The sequence below is a fragment of the Homo sapiens genome, chromosome 1 (genome assembly GCF_000001405.40).
Source record: "Homo sapiens chromosome 1, GRCh38.p14 Primary Assembly".
NCBI lineage: Eukaryota > Metazoa > Chordata > Mammalia > Primates > Hominidae > Homo > Homo sapiens.
Genome location: NC_000001.11, coordinates 93275815 through 93300160, shown reverse-complemented (window position 1 = coordinate 93300160; position 24346 = coordinate 93275815). Strand labels below are relative to the sequence as shown.

The window sequence follows — 24346 nt, the reverse complement described above, 5'->3', positions numbered from 1 at the left end:
AGAGCAAGATCCTGCCTCAGAAAAATATTAAAAATAAATAAATAAATAAATAAAATAAAGATGTCCTGCCAAGATTCCTGTCCCTTGGTTATTCAATCAAACGCTATTCTAAGTATTGCCATAAAGAGACTTTTCATTTGCAATTAAGGTTACTAATTAGTTCATCTTAAGAAAGGGCCCGGCCAGGTGTGGTGGCACATGCCTGTAATCCCAGTACTTTGGGAGGCTGAGGAGGGAGAATTGCTTGAGCTCAGGAGTTTGAGACCAGCCTGGGCAACATGGCGAAACCCTGTCTCTACAAAAAATTAAAAAATTAGCCAGTTATGGTGGTGCACACCTGTAGTCCCAGCTACTCGGGGGGCTGAGGTGGGAGAAGGCTGCAGTGAGCCATGATCATGCCACTGCACTCCAGCCTGGGCAACAGAGTGAGACCCTGCCTAAGAAAAAGGGCAGGGGTGGAGCTAATCTAATCATATGAGGTCTTAAAAGTAGAGAATGTTCTATAGATGCTGCAGAATAAAAGGCAAAAGATAAAGTCACTTTGTAGCATCAGGAGGACCTGACACTGTTGCTTGCTTGAAGATGGAGGGGAACACATAACAAGGAAACAGAAACCTCAGTCCTACTACCATAAGGAACTGAATTCTAACAACAACCCAAAGGAGCTTGGAAGTAAAATGAATGTCTCCTGAAGTACATGTGAAATAATTTTTTAGGGTATGTATCTAGTATTAGCTATAGAGTAGGTGCATACTTACTGTACTAAGTAAGGCCAAATTATTTTCCAAAGTGGACATACATTTTCCTTTTAAAAAACTGATTTATAGTAGTTCATTGTTCTTGGTTTGTATTCTTTGGTGGTTATATCTTTTTCTTGTCTATGGCATTTGTTTTCCACTGGTATCTTTTGTAGATCAGAGGTTCTTAATTTAAATGTTTGATCTTTTCCTTCATAGTTTATTCATTTTGTGTCTTGTTTAAAAATCCTTTCCTACCCTGAAATCATAAGAATATTCTCTTGCAAATATCTTCTGAAGGTTTTATAATTTTGCCATTCACATTTAGATTTTTAATCCACATGGAATTGTTTAATTACCTTTTTAAAACTTTTACAAAGGAGCTCAATGTATTCATTTTAAAGTGGACTTAAATATCGTCTCCTTTTTCATTTTATAAATGAGGAAACTCAGGCCTGAGTTAATCCCAGCACTTTGGAAGGCTGAAGCAGGTGGATCACATGAGGTCAGGAGTGCGAGACCAGCCTGGCCAACATGGTGAAAACCCGTCTCTACTAAAAACACAAAAATTAGCTGGGCGTAGTGGCAGGTGCCTGTAATCCCAGCTACTTGGGAGGCTGAGGCAGGAGAATGGCTTAAGCCCGGGAGGCGGAGGTTGCAGTGAGCCGAGATCGCACCACTGCACTCCAGCCTGGGTGACAGAGTGAGACTCTGTCTCAAAAAAAAAAAAACACACACACACACACGCTGACACACACACACGCAGACACACACACAAACTGAGATGTTTTGTTATTCTTGAGTTTTAAGAGTTCTTTATATATTAAGATTACAAGTCTTCTTCAAATATGTGATTTGTCAATATTCCAGTCTATGGCTTGTTTTTTTCATTCTATTTAACAATGTCTTAGGCCGGGCACGGTGGCTCATGCCTGTAAACCCAGCACTTTGGGAGGCCGAGGCGGGCAGATCACAAGGTCAGGAGATCGAGACCATCCTGGCTAACATGATGAAACTCTGTCTCTAGTAAAAATACAAAATATTAGCTGGGCATGGTGGCGGGCGCCTATAGTCCCAGCTACTCGGGAGGCTGAGGCAGGAGAATGGCGTGAATCCACGAGGTGGAGCTTGCGGTGAGCCAAGATTGCTCCACTGCACTCCAGCCTGGGCGACAGAGCGAGACTCCGTCTCAAAAAAAAAAAAAAAAAAAAGTCTTTTGAACATAAGTTCTTAACTTTGATAAAGTCAAAATTACAAACTTTTTTCTTTTATGGATCATAATTTTGGTGTTACATCAAATAAATCTTTGCCTAATCCAAAATCACAAAGATTTTTCTCCTTTGTTTTCTTCTAGAAGTTTTAAATTTTATATTTAAAACTTGAAAGCTTTAGATTTTACATTTAGATTTTACATTTAGATATAGGATACATTTTTTAGTTAATGTTTATGATGTGAGGTATGGATTGAGTTTTCTTTCCCACATGGATATTGAATTGTACCAGCACAGTTTATTAAAAGATGTCTTTTTTTCTACTGAATCACCTTTAGAACTTTCTTGAAAATCAATTGACCACATATGTGTGGGTCTATTTCTGGATACTCATCTTGAATTCAGATATTGAGTCTTCCAATTCTGTTTTTGTTTTCAAAGCTGTTTTGGCTTTCTAGGTCTTTTAAGTGTCAGCATGAATCTAAAATTCATTCGCTTATGAATTTCTACAAAAAATCCTGCTGTGATTTTGATTGGGATTTTCATCTGCAAATAACAAGTATTATTACTTCTTTTCAAATCTGGAGGCCTTTTATCCTTTTTGTTTTTTTTACCTTATTGCACTGGCTAACATCTCCATTAAATGTTGAAAAGAAATGGTGAGAGTGGACATCCTTACCTTGTTTCTAATCTTTGCATGAAACCATTCAGTTTTTCACCATTAAGTATGGTGTCAACTGTAGGTTCTTCATAGATGCCTTTTATCATATTAAGGGAATTAGTCTTCTATTTCTAGATTGTTGGGGTGTGTGTGTGTGTGTGTGTGTGTGTGTGTGTGTGTGTGTCTGTTGAAGATATATACAACATAATGGGAGGAAGTGGAGCAAGATGGTTGAATAGAAGCCTCTACCAATCAGCCCCTCTGCACACTAAATTTAACAATTATCCACATAAAAAGCACCATAAAAACCAAAAATCAGGTCAGCAGTCACAGTACCTGGTTTTAACTTCATATCACTGAAAGAGGCACTGAAGAGGGTAAGAAAAACAGTCTTGAATTGCAGATGCCACTGCTTCCATATCCCCCAGCAGTAGGTTATATAGCGCAGAGAGAGAATCTGTGCATTTTGGGGAGTAAGAGCGCAGTGATTTTGGGACTTTGCATTGGTACTCAGTACAGCCCTATCACAGTGGAAAACAACACTGGGCAGAACTCAGCTGGCACCCAACAAGGGAGCATCTAGACCAGCCTTAGCCAGAGGGGAATCACCCATTCCAGTGGTTGGAACCTGAGTTTCAGCAAGCCTCACCAACACAAGCTAAAGTGCTCTGGGGTCCTAAATAAACTTGAAAAGCAGTCTAGGCCACAAGGACTGCAATTCCTGGGCAAGTCCTGGTGCTGTGCTGGGCTGGGAGCCAGTGGATGTGGGGGGCATACGACCCAGTGAGACACCAGCTGGGGCAATCAAGGGAGTGTTTGTGCCACCCCTCCCCCAACTCCAGTTAGCACAGCTCAAGCCCCAGGAAATACTCCTTCCCTTCACTTGAGACAGGAAAGAGTCTTAAACAAATTTACATTCCCATCAGCAGTGTCCATTCTTTATTTTGTAACAGTTAAGTTTTATAGGTGTCTTGGGGTGATGATAAAAAGTAAAGCTAAATCAGTTTCTAAATATATATTTGTTATAAATGGATAGAAAAAAATGCATCTTGAACATGGAATTGTTAAACCACCTCTGAGTAGTGTATATCAGAACTTGCTCATTAGGTTGGCAGCAAAAGGACAGAAAGAAGTTTAAAGGGAGAGATGTATGTAGATGTGTTTATATTTACATATTGATGATAGCCATTTATGTGTGTGCATCTCTTTTGGTTCTACTATAGTAACACACTCAGTAATCCAATGGAAACATGCTTTTTCACTAATATTCTTTTTTTTTTTTTTTTGGTGAGACAGAGTCTCGCTCTGTCACCCAGGCTGGAGTGCAGTGGTGCAATCTCGGCTCACTGCAACCTCTGCCTCCCAGGTTCAAGCGATTCTCGTGCCTCAGCCTCCTGAGTAGCTGGGATTACAGGCGCCCGCCACCACGCCCGGCTAGTTTTTGTGTTTTTAGTAGAGACAGGGTTTCACCATGTTGCCCAGGCTGGTCTCAAACTCCAGGGCTCAAGCAATCCACCCGCTTCGGTCTCCTAAAATGCTGGGATTACAGGCATGAGCCACAGTGCCCGGCCTTTCACTAATATTCTAATAATATAGTTCTGATAATGAATTCTCTTAGAAACATACTAGTGTACTCTTGCTTTATGTCTCATTTTAAATAGAGCATTAAGGGAATGCAGTAATTTTTATTAACTTTGCCGATACCTTTATCTAGACGCCTATTGCCATTTTGGGCTTCTGTGAAATTTTTGTCCCCAAGAAAGGCAGGATTATATATTTTTTAATATAGATTGAGTTGGTGTAGTATATTCTCAGTTATCAAAATACTTGAGATTTTGAATTGGTAAATATTCATAATGTGTGAAAAGGCATGATACATACTGCATGATCTCAACCACATAAAATTGGATGTTGTATATAGACAACACAGGACCTAGAAGGACACATCCAACTGTAAGATGCTTGTTATTGTGGATTATTTTGTTCTTTGATTCTTGTGTTTTTCAATTCCCCGTAATGCACATTTGAAATTTAAAAAAAAAGTTATTTTTAAAACATGTATGAAGTCCCCATTGCTCATAGAATAAAATTAGCATATTCCATAGGGGAAAAAAAGAATTAAAATGTCATAATCTGAAATTTTCTTTGTGGAAAAGTTTTTAAACTTCAGTTAAATTTATTTAATAGATATAGGGCTAATCATGTCATCAGTTTCTTCTTAAGGAAGCTTTGGTAGTTTGTGTCTTTGAAGAAATTTGTGCATTTGAAATTGCCAAATTTATTGGCATAACTGTTGATAACATTCTATATCCTTTTAATAAGTGCACAATCTGAAGTGATGTTACCTGTCTTATTTTTGATATTGATACTATGTATCTTCTATTTGTGTGAGCCTGGCTAAAAATTTATATATTTTATTAATCAACTCCAGTAACTAGTTTCTGGCTTCATTAACTTTCTCTGTTTTTTTAACTTTTAATTTTTAAGTTGTGTGGGGTACATAGTAGGTGTATATGTTTATGGTGTATATGAGACTTAATTTGTTTTTGTTCGTTTTAGAGATGGGGTCTCACTATGTTGCCCAAGCTGGTCTCAAATTGCTGGGCTCAAATGATCCTCCCACCTCAGCTTCTCAAAGTGCAAGAATTACAGGCATGAGCCAACCTGCCTGGCCAGTATGAGATATTTTGATGCAAGCAAACAGTGTATAATGATCACACTGGCATTGGTGTAAATGGGCTATCAATCATCTCAAGCATTTATCCTTTGTGTTACAAACTATCCAATTATACTCTTTCAGTTATTTTTAAAGGTACAATAAATTATTGTTGACTGTAATCGCCCTGTTATTTAATCCAACAATAGGTTTTGTTCATTCTAATTATATTTTTGTACCCATTAACCATCCACACTTTCCCACTGCACCCCCACCACTACCCTTCCCAGCCTCTGGTAACTATCTTTCTACTCTCTATCTCCGTGAGTTCAACTGTTTTAATTTTTAGTTCTCACAGATAAGTGAGAACATGTAAAGTCTGTCTTTCTATGCCTGGCTCCTTTCACTTTAATGTAATGACCTCCAGTTCATCTATGTTGTTGCAAATGACAAGATCTCATTCTTTTTCATGGCTGAAGAGTACTCCACTGTGTATAAATACTCCACATTTTCTTTACCCATTCAGCTGGTCATGGACACTTAGGTAGCTTACAAATCCTGACTATTGTGAATAGTGCTGCAATAAACATAAGAGTGCAGATATTCCTTTAATATACTTATTTCCTTTCTTTTGGGTATACAACTAGCAATGGGATTGCTGGATCATATAGAAGTTCCATTTTTAGTTTTTTGAGGAACCTCCAAACTGTTCTTCATAGTGATTGTACTAATTTGCATGCCCATCAACAGTGCAAGGGTTCCCTTTTCTCCACATCCTTGCTAGCATTCATTATTTCCTGTATTTTGGATAAAACCCAGTTTAACTGGGGTGAGATATCTTGTAGTTTTAATTTGTGTTTCTCTAATAATCAATGATGTTGAATGCTTTTTCATATACCTGCTTCCATTTGCATGCATTCTTTTGAGAAATGTCTATGTAGATCTTTTGCCTGCTTTAAAATCAGATTATTAGATTTTTTCCTGTTGAGTTGTTTGAGCTCCTTATATATTCTGGTTGTTAATCTCTTGTCAGATGGATAGTTTGAAAATATTTTCTCCCATTCTATGGATTAGCTCTTCACTTTGTTGATTATTTCTCTTGCTGTGCAGAAGCTTTTCAACTTGATGTGATCCCATTTGTCTATTTTTGCTTCAGTTGCCTGTGCTTGTGGGATATTATTCAAGAAATCTTTGCCCAGTCTCATGTCCTGAGGAGTTTCCCCAGTGTTTTCTTTTAGGAGTTTCATAGATTGAAGTCTTAGATTTAAGTCTTTAATCCATTTTAATTTGATTTTTGTATACAGTGAGAGACAGGGGTCTAGTTTCATCCTTCTGCATATTAATATTCAGTTTTCCCAGTACCATTTATTGAAGAGACTGTCTTTTCCCCAGTGTATGTTCTTGGGACCTTTGTCAGAAATGAGTTCACTGTAGGGGTGTGAATTTGTTTCTGCATTCTCTATTCTGTTCCATTGGTCTATGTGTGTCTTTTTATGCAAGTACCATGCCGTTTGGTTACTATAGCTCTGTAGTATAATTTTAGCTCAGGTAATGTGATTCTTCCAGTTTTGTTCTGTTTGCTTAGGATAACTTTGGTCTTTTGTGGTTCCATATACATTGTAGGATTGTTTTTTCTATTTCTGGGAAGAATGTCATTGGTATTTTTATAAGGACTGCACTGAGTCTGTAGATTGCTTTGGGTTGTATGGACATTTTAATATTGATTCTTCCAATCCATTAACATGGAATATCTTTCCATTTTTTGGTGTCCCCTTCAGTTTTTTGAAGCAGTGTTTTATAGTTTTCATTACAGAGATCTTTCACTTCTTTGGTTAATTCCTAGGTATTTCTGTTTATTTGTGGCTAGTAATAATGTGATTACTTGCTTGATATCTTTTTCAGATTGTTCACTGTTGGCATATAGAACTGCTACTGATTTTTGTATGTTGACTTTGTATCCTGAAACTTTACTGAATTTATATGTTCTAATAGTTTTTTAGGGGAGTATTTAGGTTTTTCCAAATATAAAATCATATCATCTGCAAACAAGGACAATTTGACTTCTTCCTTTCTAATTTGAATGCCTTTTCTTTCTTCCTCTTGTCTGATTGCTCTAGCTAGTACTTCCAGTACTTTGTCAAATAACAGTGGTGAAAGTGGGCATCCCTGTCGTTTTCCAGATCTTAGAGGAAAGGCTTTCAGATTTTTCCCATTCACTATGATACTAGCTGTGGCTCTGTTGTACATATTTTTTTCATGTTGAGGTATATTCCTTCTAAACACAGTTTTTTGAGGGGGTTCATTCTGAAAGGATGTTGAATTTTATCAAAATCTTTGTCAGCATCAATTGAAATTATGATGTGGTTTTTGTCCTTCTTTCTGTTGATATGATGTATCACATTGATTTGCATATGGTGAACCATCCTTGCATCTGGGAATAAATCCCAGTTGATCATGATGAATACTATTTTTAATGTGTTGTTAAATTCAGTTTGCTGGTATTTTGTTGAGGATTTCTGCATGAGTGTTTATCAGTGATAGTGGCATGTAGTTCTGTTGTTGTTGTTGTTGTTGCTGTTTGATGTGTCTTAGTCTGGTTTTGATATCAGGGTAAAACTGGCCTTGTAAATGAATTTGGAAGTATTCTCTTCTCCATTTTTTGGTACGATGGGTATTAGTACTTCTTTAAATGTTTGGTAGAATTACTCAGCAGTGACTGGGTATGGTGGCTCATGCCTGTAATCCCAGCACTTTGGAAGGCCGAGGCAGGTGGATCACTTGAGGTCAGGAGTGTGAGACCAGCCTGGCCAACATGGCGAAAACCCATCTCTACAAAAAATACAAAAATTAGCTGGGAGTGGTGGCGGGCACCTGTAATCCCAGCTACTAAGGAGGCTGAGGTGGGAGAATTGCTTGAACCTGGGAGGTGAGGGTTGCTGTGAGCCAAGATCATGCCACTGCACTCCAGCCTGGGCAACAGAGTAAGAGACTCCATCTCTTAAAAAATATTCAGCAGTGAAACCATCAGGTCTCTGGCTTTTCTTTGCTGGGATACTTTTAAATATATCTTCAGTCTCATTACTTCTCATTGTTCTGCTCAGGTTTTGCATTTCTTATGGTTCAATCTTTGCAGGTTGTATCTGTCTAGGAGCTATTTCTTCTTGGGTTTCGAATTTATTGGCATATAGTTGCTCATAGTAGCCACTAATGATCCAATACCATGGCCACTAATTTCCATGGTATTGGTTGAAATGTCTTCTTTTTCATCTCTGGTTTTATTTATTTGAATCTTTTCTCTTTTATTCTTAGCTAGTCTGACTAAAGGTTTATCAACTTTATCTTTTCAAAAAGCCACTTTTTGTTTCATTGATCTTTTGTATTGTGTTCTTTATTTCAATTTCATTTAATTCTGCTCTGATCTTTATTTTCTTGTACAAATTTTGGGTTTGACTTGCTGTTGTTTTTTTAATTCTTTAAGATACATCATTAAGCTGTTTATTTGAAGTTTCTCTTTTCTGATGTTGGCGCTTATAGACATAAACTTCCCTCTTAGTACTGTTTTCACTGTATCTGATAGGTTTTTGTTATGTTGTATTTCCATTATCATTTGTGTAAAAAGGGTTTTCAATTTCCTTAATTTTTTCATTGACCCACTGGACATTCAGAAGCATATTGTTTAGTGTCCATGTGTTTGTATAGTCTCCAAAATTCCTCTTATTGATTTGTAGTTTTATTCCATTGTGGTTGGAGAAGATACTTGGTATTATTTCAATTTTTTGAATGTTTTAAGACTTGTTTTGTGACTGAACATGTGGTATATTCTTGAGAATAATCCATGGGCTGAGAAGAGTGTGCGTTTTGCAGCCATTGAATAAAACGTTCTGTAAATACTTATTAGATCCACTGGGTCTATAGGGTAGATTAAGTTTAATGTTTCTTTGTTGATTTCATGTCTGGATGATCTATCCCATGCTGAAAGTGGGGTGGTGAAGTGTCTGGCTATTATTATATTGGGGTCTACATCTCCCCTTAGCTCTAATGGCATTTGGTTTATATATCTAGGTGCTTGAGTTTTGGGTGTATATATATTTACAATTTTTAATGCCTCTTGCTGAATTGACCCCTTTATCATAAGACCTGATTTGTCTCTCTTCTTATAGTTTTTGTCTTGAAATTATATTTTATTTTCTTTCTTTTTTTTTTTTTCAGGAGAAGTTTTGCTCTGTTGCCCAGGCTGGAGTGCAGTGGTGCAATCTCAGCCTACTGCAGCCTCTGCCTCCCAGGTTCAAGCAATTCTCCTGCCTCAGCCACCTGAGCAGCTGGGATTACAGGCATGTGCCACCAGGCCCTGATAATTGTTGTATTTTTAGTAGAGATGGGGTTTCACCATGTTGGCCTGGCTGGTTGCAAACTCTGATCTTAAGTGATCTGCCCACCTCGGCCTCCCAAAGTGCTGGGATTACAGGTGTGAGCCACTGCACCTGGCCTTGAAATTATTTTTTCTGATAGAAGTATAGCCACTCCTACTCTTTTTTGGCTTTAATTTGCGTGGAATATCTTTTTCCAACCCTTTATTTCAGTCTATGTGTGTCTTTATAGGTGAAGTGTGTTTCTTGTAGGCAACAGAACGTTGGGTCTTTTTTGATTGGAGAGTTTGGTCCATTTACATGCAGTTATTGATAAGTAGGGAATTGTTCCTGCCATTTTGTTATTTGTTTTCTTATTGTTTTGTGGTCTTCTCTCCTTCTCTTCCTTCTTGTCTCCCTTTTAGTGAAGGTGATTTTCTCTACTGTTGATACGGGAGCTAGAAAGAAATTATCTAGGCAGATAGTGTGCATAAAAGGAGTCTTCGACAAGGCTTCTCTTTTAACAAAAAGCAGCTCCCAAATCATTTCTTTTCTAACAAAGAGCAGCCTGAAAAATCAAGCTGCAGACATAGATAAGCAAGCTGAAAGCTTTGCATGGGTGAGTGCCAACAGCTGTGCCAATAGAAAAGGGCTACCTGGAAGCCAGGTATGTTCAACATGGGGGCTCCATCTTCCCTTTTCATTGTCACCACATGTACAGTAAGGAGCAGGCAACATGGCACCGGCCAGGTAGAGAACCCTTCTGCATAATAAAAGATTAGGATGGGACAGCCAGCTTCTTCACATGCTATGCAAATGGCACACCTGGTCTGACCAATCTTTTCTGCCCTCTGTAAATCAGACACCACCTCCTCAAGCTCATCTATAAAAATTCCTGCACTTCACCAGAAAACTGGCAATACATTTTTCTCTGGGACCCTTCTGCACAGAGAGCGCTTCTCTTTCTTTCACCTATTAAGCTTCTGCTCTTAACCTCACTCTGGTATGTCTGCATCCTAGTTTTCTGTGGTCATGGGACAACTAACCTCAGGTATTATCCCAGATGAATGATGCTGCTTCATTGTGGGGGCCTGCTTGGGATCTGAGGTAGATTCATCAGAAGGGTGAGTATAGGATGAGACCCCAACTCTTTTCTTTCATTTCAAGGCCTTCTGCCCTCCATTTTAAAATCAAACTAAACACTGGGACCCTGTCAGCCATTTAAAAATGGTTAGCCTGGCTGCCAGTCTTACAAGACTCAGGGGACAGGCTTGCCAGGGGGAACTTAGCAAATCACCCAGTATCCTCAGGGTACTAGGAATGTTGACTTTGTTTTGAACTGGTTTCATTTCATGGAGAGCCTAGCCATCACATGGGGCTAGAAGAAGTCCAGAGGCAACTGAGGGTTTCTGGCCAGGGCAACATCCTAGTGTTACCTGAAGGCTTCTGAACTAACTCCAGCCTCTGACAGCTCAGTGTGTGATGGCAAAGGATCTCCAAGCTTTCTCTATTGCAATTTTCCTTCATTTCTTATATCCATTCTCTGTATGCAATGCTGTGGGAATTTTTACAGTATAGGGAAGTAATCATATTAGGTAAGATCAGGAAATGCTGTAGTAATTGGGAATACAGCTCAAGCTTAAGGGATTGCCGTTTTTGAGATTTTCTAGGAAGAGAGGGCCCCCCAACCCCCTGCAGCAAGCATCTCTCTCTTTATATTTGGTCTGGAGAGCACATGGTATTTCAGAGTCAACAGCACCACCTAGTAGAATAGGAATCCTCTCCATTAGGCACATTGTTGGCCGTTTGCCAAAACACTCTAACAGCTTCATTAAGCAGTTCCCCAATAGGGACTCTGTATGGGGGTTCTGACCCCACATTTCCCTTCCACATTACCGCAGCAGAGGTTCTCCATGAGGGCCTGGCCCCCTGCAGCAAACTTCTGCCTGGACATCCAGGCATTTCTAGACATCTTCTGAAATCTAGGCAGAGGTTCCCAAACCTCAATTCTTGACTTCTGTGTACCTGCAGGCTCAACATCACATGGGAGTTGCCAAGGCTTGGGGCTTGCACCCTCTGAAGCCATGGCCTGAGCTGTACATTAACCTCTTTTAGCCATGGCTGGAGCAGCTGGGAGGCAGGGCACCAAGCCTCTAGGCTGCACAGAGCAGGGGGACCCTGGGCTTAGCCCACAAAACCATTTTTTCTTCCTAGGCCTCTGGACCTGTGATGGGAAGGTCTCTGACATGCCCTGGAGACATTTTCCCCATTGTATTGTTGATTAACATTCAGCTCCTTGTTACTTATGCAAATTTCTGCAGCAGGCTTGACTCTTTCCCCAGAAAATGGGTTTTTCTTTTCTACCTCAAGGTCAGGCTGCAAATTTTCCAAACTTTTATGCTCTGCTTCCTCTTGAATGCTTTACCACTTAGAAATTTCTTCCACCAGATACCCTAAATCATCTCCCTCAAGTTTAAAGTTCCACGGATCTCTAGGGCAGGGGCAAAATGCCATCAGTCTCTTTGCTGAAGCATAGCAAGAGTGACCTTTGCTCCAGTTCCAAATAAGTTCCTTATCTCCATCTGAGGCCACCTCAGCCTGGACTTCATTGTCCACATCATTATTAGCATTTTGGTCAAAACTATTCAACAAATCTCTATGAAGTTACAAACTTTTCCACATCATCCTGTCTTCTGAGCCCTCCAAGTCTCTAGGAAGTTCCAAACTTCCTTGCATTTTCCCGTCTTCTTCTGAGCCCTCCAAACTGTTTCAACCTCTGCCTGTTACCCAGTTCCAAAGTCACTTCCACATTTTCAGGTATCCATATAGCTGTGCCCCATTCTACTGGTACCAATTTACTGTATTAGTCTGTTCTCATGCTGCTAATAAAGACATGCCCAAGATTGGGTAATTTATAAAGGAAAGAAGTTTAATTGACTCACAGTTCAGCATGGCTGGGAAGGCCTCAGGAAACTTAACAATCATGGTGGAAGGGGAAGGAAACACATCCTTCTTCACATGGCAGGAAGGAGAAATGTCAAGCAAAGATGGAAAAGCCCCTTGTAAAACCATCAGATCTGGTAAGAACTCACTATCACGAGGACAGCAGCATGGGGTAACCGTCGTGATTCAATTACCTCCCACCGGGTCCCTCCCATGACACATGGGGATTATGGGAACTACAATTCAAAATGAAATTTGGTTGGGGACACAGCCAAACCATATCACTCAGCTTCCAACTGCTGGGATGGGTGATTCCCATCTGGTTAGGGCTAAATACTCCCTTTGTGGGCATTGGCTGAATTCTGTCTGGTGCTGGCATCACTGAGTTCCAATGCAAAGCCCCAGAATCACTGCATTCTCCTTCTCTCCCCCAAGAGCACAGATTCTCCCTGTGCCATGCAGCCTCTGCCTGGAGATGGGAGAGGAGTGGCATCAGCAATACAAGACTATCTTTCCCACCCTCTTCAGTGCCTCTTTCAGCAGTATGAAGTTAAAAACCAGGTATTGGGAATGCTCACCTGCTTTTTGGTTTGTACGAAGATTTTTTCTTTTTTTTTTTTTTGTAGACAGTCGTTATACTTGATGTTCCTGAAGGAAAGATGATTGGTGGAGGCTTTTATATGGCTATCTTGATGTGCCTTATTCTTTATTGTTTTTGTTTTCTATTTCATTAAAATTCACTATGATCTTTAACATTTCCTTTCTTGTGCTTCCTTTGGGAAGCAGTTTATTCTTTATTTTCTACTTTCCTAAGGTAGAAGCTGAAGTCATTGAGACCTTTCCTCTTCTCTGATATGAGGAGGTCTCCAATTATTATGAAAAATGGAATTATAAAATATAAAATATAAAACTTTTAATTCTCAACATAAGTTCCATTAAATTCAAGACATTTTTGTACACAACGATCCCTGCCATTTAGTTTCTCCTTAAAGAACTGAGGGTCCTGAGAATTTAATCATGTCAATACAGTCTTTTCTACATTATTAACTGAAGAGAAATGGGTGCTCTTTATAGATTTTTTTTAAAGATTAGGAAACACAAAGAAGTCAGAAGGAGCCAAATCAGGACTGTAAGGTGGATGCATAATGCTTTCCCATAGAAACTCACAAAATTGCTCTTGTTTGATGACAGGAACGAGCAGGAACATTGTCCTGGTGGAGATGGATGCTCTGGTGAAGCTTTTTTGTGGATTTTTGTACTGAAGTTCTTGTTAACTTTAACGTCTTTTAGAGAAAAGGTATTGCTTTTTCATCCTGACTGGAATGCAGTGGCACAATCAAAACTCACTGCAGCCTCGAACTCCAGATTCAAGTGATCCTCCCACCTCAGCCTCCTAAGCCGCTGATGTGACAGGCACACACCACCGTGCCTGGGTAAACTTTATTACTTTTGTAGAGATGGGGGTCACACTGTGTTGCACAGGCTGGTCTCAAACTCCTGGCCTCAAGTGATCCTCCTGCCTTAGCCTCTGAAAGTGCTGAGATTACAGGCATGAGCCACTGCACCTGCCTAGATGTGTGTTACTTAATTTCCAAAAATTAAGGTTTTCCCAGATACCGCCTTCTGCTCTATGTTTATAATTTAACTCAACATTGTGTTCAGAGAACATACTTGGTATGTCTTAGATCCTTTTAAATTTACTCAGACTTGTTTTATGTCCTAGAACATGGTCTATCCTGGTAAATGTTTCCTGCATAGTTTAAAAATATATCTTCTGCTGTTGTTGGGTGAGGTGTTCTAGAAATGTCAGGTTCAATTGTTTTATGTTGTTGTTCCTGTCTTCTATATCTTATTATTTTTCAGGATACTTTTTCTATAAGTTACTGAGAAAGGGGTATTGAAATATCTAACTTTAATTCTGGATTTGTCTATTTTTCCTTGCAGTTCTATTAGCTTTTATATCACGTATTTTGAAGATCTGTTATTAGTTACTTATACACTTAGGATTGGTGTCTTCTGGATCACTTGACCTCTTTGCCTTTATGAAATTACCCTCTTTATCTCTGGTGATACTTGTCCTGGAAAGACCTTTGGTGTTAATATAGTCACTCCACCTTTATTTATTTATTTACTTATTTTATTTTTTGGGTTTGTTTTTTTTTTGTTTTTGTTTTTGAGGTGGAATCTTGCTCTGTCACCCAGGCTGGAGTGCAGTGGTGTGATCTTAGCTCACTGCAACCTCCACTTCATGGATTCAGCTGATTCTTCTGCCTCAGCCTCCCAAGTAGCTGGGATTACAGGCATACACCACCACGCCCAGCTAAGTTTTTGTATTTTTAGTAGAGACAGGGTTTCACCATGTTGGCCAGGCTGGTCTCGAACTCTTGATCTCAAGTGATCTGCCTGCCTCGACCTCCTAAGATGTTGGGACTACAGGTGTGAGCCACTATGCTCAGCCCCACCTTTATTTTAATCAGTGTTAGCATATAATATTTTTCAATCCTTTTCATCTATTTCTGTCTTGTACTTCTTGTAGGTAGTATTGTTTCTTGTAGGTGTCAGATAGCTGAGTCTTATTTTTTGATACAACCCGATGATCTCTTTTAATGAAGATGGTTATGCCATTTACATTTAATATGATGATTGATTTAGTTGTCTTTAATCTACCATTTGCTATTTATTTTCTATTTGTCCCAGTTATTCCTTGCTCCCTTTTCCCTCTTTTTCTGTCTTCTTTTGGAAAAATTATTTTTTGTGATTCCATTTTATTTTCTTTTTGGGTTTATTCACTATAACTTTTTGTTGTGTTATTTTAATAGTTACTTTAGGGCTTATAATATAGAGCATTAACTTATCACAGTCTACTTTCGGGTGATATTTCACTCTTATACCTGAGATAAGATATAAGAGCCTTAAAATAGCCTTAAAATAGTATGCTTCTGGGCAGGCGTGGTGGCTCACGCCTGTAATCCCAGCACTTTGTGGGGCCGAGGCGGGTGGATCACGAGGTCAGGAGATTGAGACCATCCTGGCCAACATGGTGAAACCCCATCTCTACTAAAAATAACAAAATTAGCTGGGCATGGTGGCGTGCATAGTCCTAGCTACTCAGGAGGCTGAGGGAGGAGAATCACTTGAACCCAGGAGGTGGAGATTGCAGTGAGCCGAGACTGCGCCACTTTACTCCAGCCTGGCGACAGAGCGAGACTCCATCTCAAAACAAAACAAAAAACAAAAACAGTATACTTCCATTTCCCTCCTCACAGTCCCTATATGCTGTTATTGGAATAGATTTACTTTACATAGATTATAAACCCCACAACACACTACACACTAGTTTCTAATATAGTATTCAAGAGGTTTGAAAACATTTTTTAAGAATTTTTGTTTCCCCTTGTCCCCTCCCCTCTACCTTTTGTTTTGTAGGGACTTCAATTAGAAGTATATTATGTCACTTGAAGATTTCCTGCAGCTGGTTGATGCTATGCTCACTTTTTTTTCTACAATTTTTTATTTGTTTCATTTTGATAGTTTCTAGTTTTCTATTCATGTTCATTAATCTTTCCTCTACAATATATAATCTCCTGTTCATCTCATCCAATTTATTTTTCATCACAAATATTGTTGTTTTAATCTCCCAAAGTTGTTTGTATTTCTTTTTTTATGTTTTCCATGTCTCTACTCAACATGTTCAGTGTTTCTTCTAGCTTCTTGAACATACGGAATAGAGTTGTAATAATTTAGTGGCCTTGACTACTAATTTGATCATCTATGTCTTTTCTGGTTGGTTTACATTGCTTTTTATCATTATTGGGTCATATTTTCCTGCTTCTTTCCATTCCTGATAATTTTTTAAGAGATGGGGTCTTGCTATGTTGCCCAGGCTGGAGTGCAGTGCCTATTCATAGGTGTGATCATAGCACACTACAGCTTTGAACTCCTGGGCTCAAGTGATCCTCCTGCCTCAGCTTTCTGAATAGCTGGGACTACAGCTGTGTACCACCATTCCTGGACCTGGTAACTTTTGATTAAACACATTCTGAATTTTACATTATTAGATAAATAGTTTATTCCTATAAATATTCTTGAGCTTTTGTTCTTGGGCATGGTTATTTGGAAACAGTTTTATCCTTTCAGGTTTTGCTTTAAATGACTCTAAACTAGTACCCAAGAGGCATTTAGTCTAGAGTTTATTTCCCCATTATTGAGGCACCATTCTTGAGAATTCTACCTGATGCCCTGAAAATGATGAGATTTTCTCACTCCTAGTCATGGAAACAAATCTATTCTCAGAGCTTTCTGAGCTCTGAGGATTGTTCCAATTATTCAAGTGGTTCTTTCCCTTGCCTTGTGTAGTTTCCTCACATATAGTCACTGATGATGTCTCATCTGAAAATTTGAGGGAGATCCTTTAATTTCCAGAGTTCTCTGTGTAGCTCTCTCCTCTTTATTACTGTGCCCTGTGAATTCTAGCCTTCTTAGCCTCCCCAGATTCCTAGCTCTGTCTCTTCAACTCAAGGTCACAGCCTAGAAACTTACTCCAGGTAATAAGATGGGGGAAATAAAGGGCTCAACCATCTCTCAGAAATCACTGTCTTTTGTTGCTTCATGTCCAATATTTTAAAACTGTTGATTTGTAGCTTTTGTCAGGCTTTTTAATTTAGGCAGTCTGTATGCACTGATGACCCTCATATTTAATAGCAATCTGCTTTTTGTTGTTGTTGTTGAGATGGGGTCTTGTTCTGTTGCCCAGCTTGAAGTGCAGTAGAGTGATCATGGTTCACTGCAGCCTTGAACTCTCAGGCTCAAGAGATTCTCCTACCTCAGCCTCCTGAGTAGCTGGGACCACAGCCACACATCACCATGTGCAGCTAGTTTCTAAATTTTTTTGTAGTGATGGGGTCTCACTATGTTCTTCTTGCCAGTCTTGAACTGCTGGGCTCAAGCAATCCTCCTGCCTCAGCCTCCCAAAGTGTTGGGATTACAGGTGTGAGCCATCATTCCCGGCCTACAATATGTATTTTATATATATAATAATTTTATATATATAATATATATATATAATTAATTTATATTTTATATAATTTATATATATGTAAAAATTAATCTATAAAATATGTATTATATATAATAATTATATATATGGTCTCGCTCTGTTGCCCAGGCTGGAGTGCAGTGGTGTGATCTCTGCTCACTGCAACCTCTGCCTCCTGGGCTCAAGCATCAAGCAATCCTCCCACCTCAGCCTCCTGAATAGCTAGGACTATAGCACACACCACCATGCCTGGAGTGCAGTGGTGTGATCTCTGCTCACTGCAACCTCTGCCTCCTGGGCTCAAGCATCAAGCAATCCTCCCACCTCAGCCTCCTGAATAGCTAGGACTATAGCACACACCACCATGCCTGGTTGATTTTTTTGTTTGTTTTGGTAGAGACAGGGTTTTGCCATGTTGCCCAGGTTGGTCTCAAACTTCTGGGCTAAAGCAGTCCTCCCACCTTGGCCTCCCAAATTGCTGGAATTACCGGCATGAGCCACCACGTGTGGCTCTACAGTATCTTTAAATGTCAGTTAAGTCAAGTCAGTTTGATATTATTCATAACTTCTATATCCTTGCTGATTTTTTTTTTTGGTCTCTTATTCTTTTAATTACTGAAAACTGGAGGTTAAACTATCCCACTATGTGGATATATTTGTCCCTTTAGTTCAGTTAGATTTCAGTTCGTGTATCTGAAGTCTGTTATTTGGTGTATACACATTTAGGAGTATGTCTTCCTATTAAATGGATCCTTTTACCATTACGAAACATCCTTTTTTAATCTCTGGCAAAACTCATTTTTGACATCTACTTTGTCAGATATTAATATAGCCCTGAAGCACTTTTTATGCTTGTTTCCCTGGTATCTTTGTCCATACTTTTAACTTTCATTATATTGTTGATATGGTTTGCTTCTGTGTCCCACCCAAATCTCATATTGAATTGTGATCCCAAGTGTTGAAGGTGGAGCCTGGTGGAAGGTGATTGGATCATGGGGCCTGTAGCCCCTTTGTTTTTGGCCAATTTTTCCCTTTTGGAATGGGAGCATTTACCCAATGTCTGTACCCCCATTGTATCTTTGAAGTAACTAACTTGTTTTTTATTTTACAAGATCATAGGTGGAAGGAACTTGCCTTGTCTCAGATGAGACTTTGGACTATGGATTTTTGAGTTAATGTTGAAATGAGTTAAGACTTAGGGGGCTGTTGAGAATGGATGATTGAACTTTTGTGTGAGAAGGACATGAGATGTGGGAGGGGACATGGTTGGAATGATATTGTTTGGCTTTGTGTCTCCACCCAAATCTCATGTTGAATTGTGAACCTGAGTATTGGAGGTGGGGCTTGGTGGGAGGTAATTGGATCATGGAAGTGGTTTTTAATGGTTTAGTACCATCCCCCTAGTGCTGCCTCATGATAGAGTTCTCACAAGATCTGGTTGTTTAAGTGTGTAGCACTTCCCCCTTTGCTCTCTCTTCCTTCTGCTCCTGCCATGTAAGACATGCTGGCTTCCCATTCACCTTCCACCACGATTTTGTTTCCCAAGGCTTCCTGAGCCATGCCTCCTGTATAGCCTGTGGAACTGTGAGTCAATTAAACATCTTTTCTTTATAAATTACCCAGTCTCACATAGTTCTTTATAGCAGTGTGGGAACAGACTAATACAGTTGTCCTTTTAAAAGTGTGTCTCACTCTTTCTCATGGCAAATCTGCCTTCTTTTGGATCACTGTTCCCCTACATGAGGATTTTTCTGTCTCTGTTTTTAAGGTATGTCTGTGTTTGGTTTACAGAATTTTCACTATTATATTACTAAGCAGGATTTTTTTTTTTATCCTGCTTAGGGCTTGCTGAGCTTAGAAAATCTATAGGTTGTCATCTTTTCACCACATTTGTGATATTTTCAGCCATAACTATAAGAACTTTTTCCTGCCCCATTTTCCCTTTCTTCTCTTAATACTATCTTACAGGTCTTAGATGCTCTTTTTATATTTATTCAATCATATTTCTCTTTGTTCTTCAGAGTGGAAATTTACTATTTATCTGCTTTCAAGTCAACTGACTTTTCTGTCACCTCCAATCTGCTGTTAAGCCAATATTGGGAGTTTTAAATGTTCAGCTACTATACTTTTTGGTTCTAGAATTTCCATTTGGTTATTTTATCTCTAAACATCCATTCTCAATTTTCTTTTCTGCCTGCCTGTAAAATATTGGGACTCCCTAAGTTTCTACCTTGTACCACTCATTGATTTGTATTTGTCTAAGATTCCTCCCCATCTATTCACTCATTATGGCCATCTTTTCCTTTAAATCCTCAAAAAATATGAATCATGAGGGTGGGTCTTTCCCATGCTGTTCTTGTGATAGTCAATAAGTCTCATGAGATCTGAGGTTTTATAAAGGGGTGTTCCCCCACATATGCTCTCTCTTACCTGCTGCTGTGCAAAACTTGACTTTGCTCCTCCTTTGCCTTCTGCTATGATTGATTGTGAGGCCTCCCAGCCATGTGGAACTGTGAGTCTATTAAACCTCTTTTCTGGCCAGGCACAGTGGCTCAAGCCTGTAATCCTGACACTTTGGGAGGCCGAGGTGGGTGGATCACCTGAGGTCAGGAGTTCAAGACCAGCCAGGCCAACATCGTGAAACCCCATCTCTACTAAAAAATACAAAATATTAGCCAGGCATGGCGGTGGGCACTTGTAATCCCAGCTAGTCAGGAAGCTGAGGCAGGAGAATCGCTTGAACCCAGGAGGCGGAGGTTGCAGTGAGCCAAGATGGTGCCACTGTACTCCAATCTGGGTGACAAAAGCAAACTCCATCTCAAAACCAAAAAACCTCTTTTCTCTATAAATTACCCAGTCTGAGGTCTGAGGTATGTCTTTTTTTTTTTTTTTTTTGAGTCTCGCTCTGTTGCCCAGACTAGAGTGCAGTGGCACGATCTTGGCTCACTGCAAGCTCCGCCTCCCGGGTTCATGCCATTCTCCTGCCTCAGCCTCCCAAGTAGCTGGGACTACACGTGCCTGCCACCACACCCGGCTAATTTTTTTGTATTTTTAGTAGAGACAGGGTTTCACCATGTTAGCCAGGATGGTCTCGATCTCCTAACCTCATGATCCGCCTGCCTCGGCCTCCCAAAGTGCAAGGATTACAGGCGTAAGCCACCGCGCCCAGCCAGTCTGGGGTATGTCTTTATTGGCAGCATGAGAACAGACTAATACAACTGCCTAGAATAGTCACTGATAAACAGTAAACTGACTCAATGAAAGTCAGCCATTATTAGTACAATTATAAACCTGTGGCAGAATGACTTATAAATTTATACTAATTTTAAAAATTAAGTAATACTAGAAAAATTAGCAAATAATAGTCTGATTAAGAACTGACATTCCTCGCCTCTTTTCCTTTCTCTGCCATCATGGTGTGTGCTTGACTTTGCTTCTTGCCATGTCTTCTCACAAGACTTTCAGGATTAAGTGATTGCTGGCCAAGAAACAAAAGCAAAATTGTCCCATTCCCCAGTGGATTCAGATGAAAACTGGTAATAAAATCAGGATTTTATTAATAAAATAAAACCAAAAGGAGACAATGGAGAAGAACCAAGCTGGGTCTATAAGGAATTGCACATGAGATGGCACACATATTTATGCTGTCTGAAGGTCACAATCATGTTACCATATCAGGCTGAAAATGTCACCACTATCCGGAGAGTTTGACATGTTTTGTTGGGAATATATTTTGTCTCTCTGCATCTGTTATGAACGCATTGGTTGGCTGGGTTCAGTAATAAATATGTGAGGCCTTTCATTAAAAAAAAAAAAAAATTTGCATTCCTCAATGTACTTATGCATTTTAACAATGATTTTTATATAAAAAGCAAAAGAAAGCAGCAAGTTTAAGCCAAAAAACAATAAATAAAATAATAAATTTTCTTTAAAAATATAATTAAGTTTTAGAAGGGCTTTCTTTTAAAATATTGAAATATAAAATTTATTCAAAAGCAAAATAACAGCTTCTATGAAGTATGAGCTACATATAATAAGTAAACAGCACAGTACCAAAAATTCCATTTTTTCAACACATCAGTATCTTCTTTGAATTACACATTTTCTCCCTAGAATAATGCAAAATAATAGATTAATATTTGAAATATTCCTAAACTGATTTAGCATTAAAAGTCTACCATAATAACAGGAGTATAATTTAAAGCGAGAGTGAGAAATATTTAGTCTACTGAAAAATATGAATCATAAAAAGTCAATAATGAACCACATGAATATAAAATGCAGGCCGGGTGCAGTGGCTCACTGCCTGTAATCCCAGCATTTTGGGAGGCCGAGGTGCATGGATCACCTGAGGTCAGGAGTTTGAGACCAGCCTGGCCAACATGGTGAAACCCTGTCTCTACTAAAACATACAAAAATTAGCTGGGTGTGGTGGCGAGCGTCTGTAATCCCAGCTAGTCAGGAGGCTAAGGCAGGAGAATCACTTGAACCTTGGAGGGGGAGGTTGCAGGGAGCCGAGATCGCACCACTGCACTCCAGCCTGGGAGACAAGAGGGTAACTCCATCTCAAAAAAATAAAATAAAATAAATAAAATAAAAAATAAAAGCAAATAATTCTGGCTTGATGAGGTGGGTGTGAATATGGGGTTAAACTAATTTTAAAACTCGAAAAAAGGAACATAAATATAACATTTTGGCATCAGTGTCATGTTATAGTTTGAGAGCACAATAAACAAGGATGATGAATAGCTACATGAAAAAATCAATGAAAAAGGAAGATTAAAAGAAGAAAAAAAGAGCAGACAGAGACAAAAGACAATTATGTGGGGAAAAGCAAGAGAGATCAGATTGTTACTGTGTCTGTGTAGAAAGAAGTAGACATAGGAGACTCCATTTTGTTATGTACTAAGAAAAATTCTTCTGCCTTGAGATTCTGTTAATCTATAACCTTACCCCCAACCCCGTGCTCTCTGAAACGTGTGCTGTGTCAACTCAGAGTTAAATGGATTGAGGGAGGTGCAAGATGTGCTTTGTTAAACAGATGCTTGAGGGCAGCATGCTCCTTAAGAGTCATCACCACTCCCTAATCTCAAGTACCCAGGGACACAAAAACTGCGGAAGGCCGCAGGGACCTCTGCCTAGGAAAGCCAGGTATTGTCCAAGGTTTCTCCCCATGTGATAGTCTGAAATATGGCCTCGTGGGAAGGGAAAGACCTGACCGTCCCCCAGCCCGACACCCGTAAAGGGTCTGTGCTGAGGAGGATTAGTAAAAGAGGAAGGAATGCCTCTTGCAGTTGAGACAAGAGGAAGGCATCTGTCTCCTGCCTGTCCCTGGGCAATGGAATGTCTCGGTATAAAACCCGATTGTATGCTCCATCTACTGAGATAGGGAAAAACCGCCTTAGGGCTGGAGGTGGGACCTGCGGGCAGCAATACTGCTTTGTAAAGCATTGAGATGTTTATGTGTATGCATATCTAAAAGCACAGCACTTAATCCTTTACATTGTCTATGATGCAAAGACCTTTGTTCACGTGTTTGTCTGCTGACCCTCTCCCCACAATTGTCTTGTGACCCTGACACATCCCCCTCTTTGAGAAACACCCACAGATGATCAATAAATACTAAGGGAACTCAGAGGCTGGCGGGATCCTCCATATGCTGAACCCTGGTTCCCCGGGTCCCCTTATTTCTTTCTCTATACTTTGTCTCTGTGTCTTTTTCTTTTCCAAATCTCTTGTCCCACCTTACGAGAAACACCCACAGGTGTGTAGGGGCAACCCACCCCTACACAATTATTTGCATATAAAAGCAGTTTAACATAAAGTAGAAAAATAGAGGAAAAAGGCCCAGGGGATTTAAAAAAATATGGGCCAAATTTTCTTGTCATACCTTCATCTTTACTGAGGGTGTGAATTTGAAAATATTATCATGTCTCTAGGTATTACCTGTACTCCTGGTTTAACATTTTTTTTTCATCTTTGTTTTCCCTATAGCTAATTTCCTAATTTCTTATTTTTCATCTTACTGCATGATATATGTACCATATCTTGAAAACTACTTACAAATAAGAGAAATAGAAGTAATAACTTTTTATAAATTCCTAATAAATGGTGAATTAGCTAATTAATCAGTATTCACAACACTTCCACTGCTCTAATCCAAAACAGGATTAGAATAGGAGTTAATATGAAGTCTCTGAACTTGCTGATATTGTGTTCTAAATTGTGTACAGGTGTAATTTTTTGAGTTCTGAAGCTTTTGTTAGTCTGAAAGCAGAATACTTCAGTGTTAAGAGGCTTTACTCTCAATGGAAGTGCCAACGTACTTAACCATTAGGAAAATAGTATTTGGGCTGCAACACAAGGGAGCTAACACTTATTAAACACTTCTCATGTATCGGTTTCCACATTCTTTTCATTGTACCAGTGGACTTTAAAACTGCACTTTTCTGAAGCAGAGCTGGATTTAGGCCAGCTGATACCCTCTGCACAGCCCAACAATGGCGCCTCCTGGCCCTACCACTGCTTTAAAAAATTGCTTAAGAGTCCTTTAGACGAATCAGCTGATGAGTCAAATGCTATCCAGACCCAGGTAGCTGGTTTTGAAACTCACACCATGTGTAAAGAAACAAATGTAATACCTGATGACACTTTCAAATCAAACTTTTAAACTTTTGTCACTCATCATACCAAAGAAAATGATTTTTTAATAGTGCAGATTAAATTTGAACTGGCAGATAAAGACAGTTACTAAAAA

At 39.3% G+C, this 24346-nt stretch overlaps 1 protein-coding gene and 1 pseudogene across 13 annotated transcripts in view, besides 1 other annotated feature; one reads left to right on the top strand and one right to left on the bottom strand.

Annotated features, from left to right (window-relative positions):
* On the top strand, nucleotides 20975-21393 carry LOC100130531 (ribosomal protein L39 pseudogene; annotated as a pseudogene).
* Nucleotides 21431-24346, bottom strand: part of CCDC18 (coiled-coil domain containing 18) — a 98818-nt gene continuing 95902 nt past the window's right edge. For all 13 annotated transcript variants that reach the window (XM_011541361.4, NM_206886.4, XM_017001161.3 and 10 more), the window contains one exon: nucleotides 21431-21698. In XM_011541361.4, coding sequence (XP_011539663.3) covers nucleotides 21684-21698 — 15 coding nt within the window. In that variant the 3' untranslated portion in view covers nucleotides 21431-21683. The remainder of the gene's footprint in view (nucleotides 21699-24346) is intronic.
* Nucleotides 22446-23413: an enhancer, noted in NCBI's record as "OCT4-NANOG-H3K27ac hESC enhancer chr1:93742305-93743272 (GRCh37/hg19 assembly coordinates)". NCBI's record gives its function as "activates a minimal SCP1, AML or CMV promoter by ChIP-STARR-seq in naive and primed H9 embryonic stem cells {active_cell/tissue: H9 hESC(naive and primed)}" and the evidence as "EXISTENCE:reporter gene assay evidence [ECO:0000049][PMID:30033119]".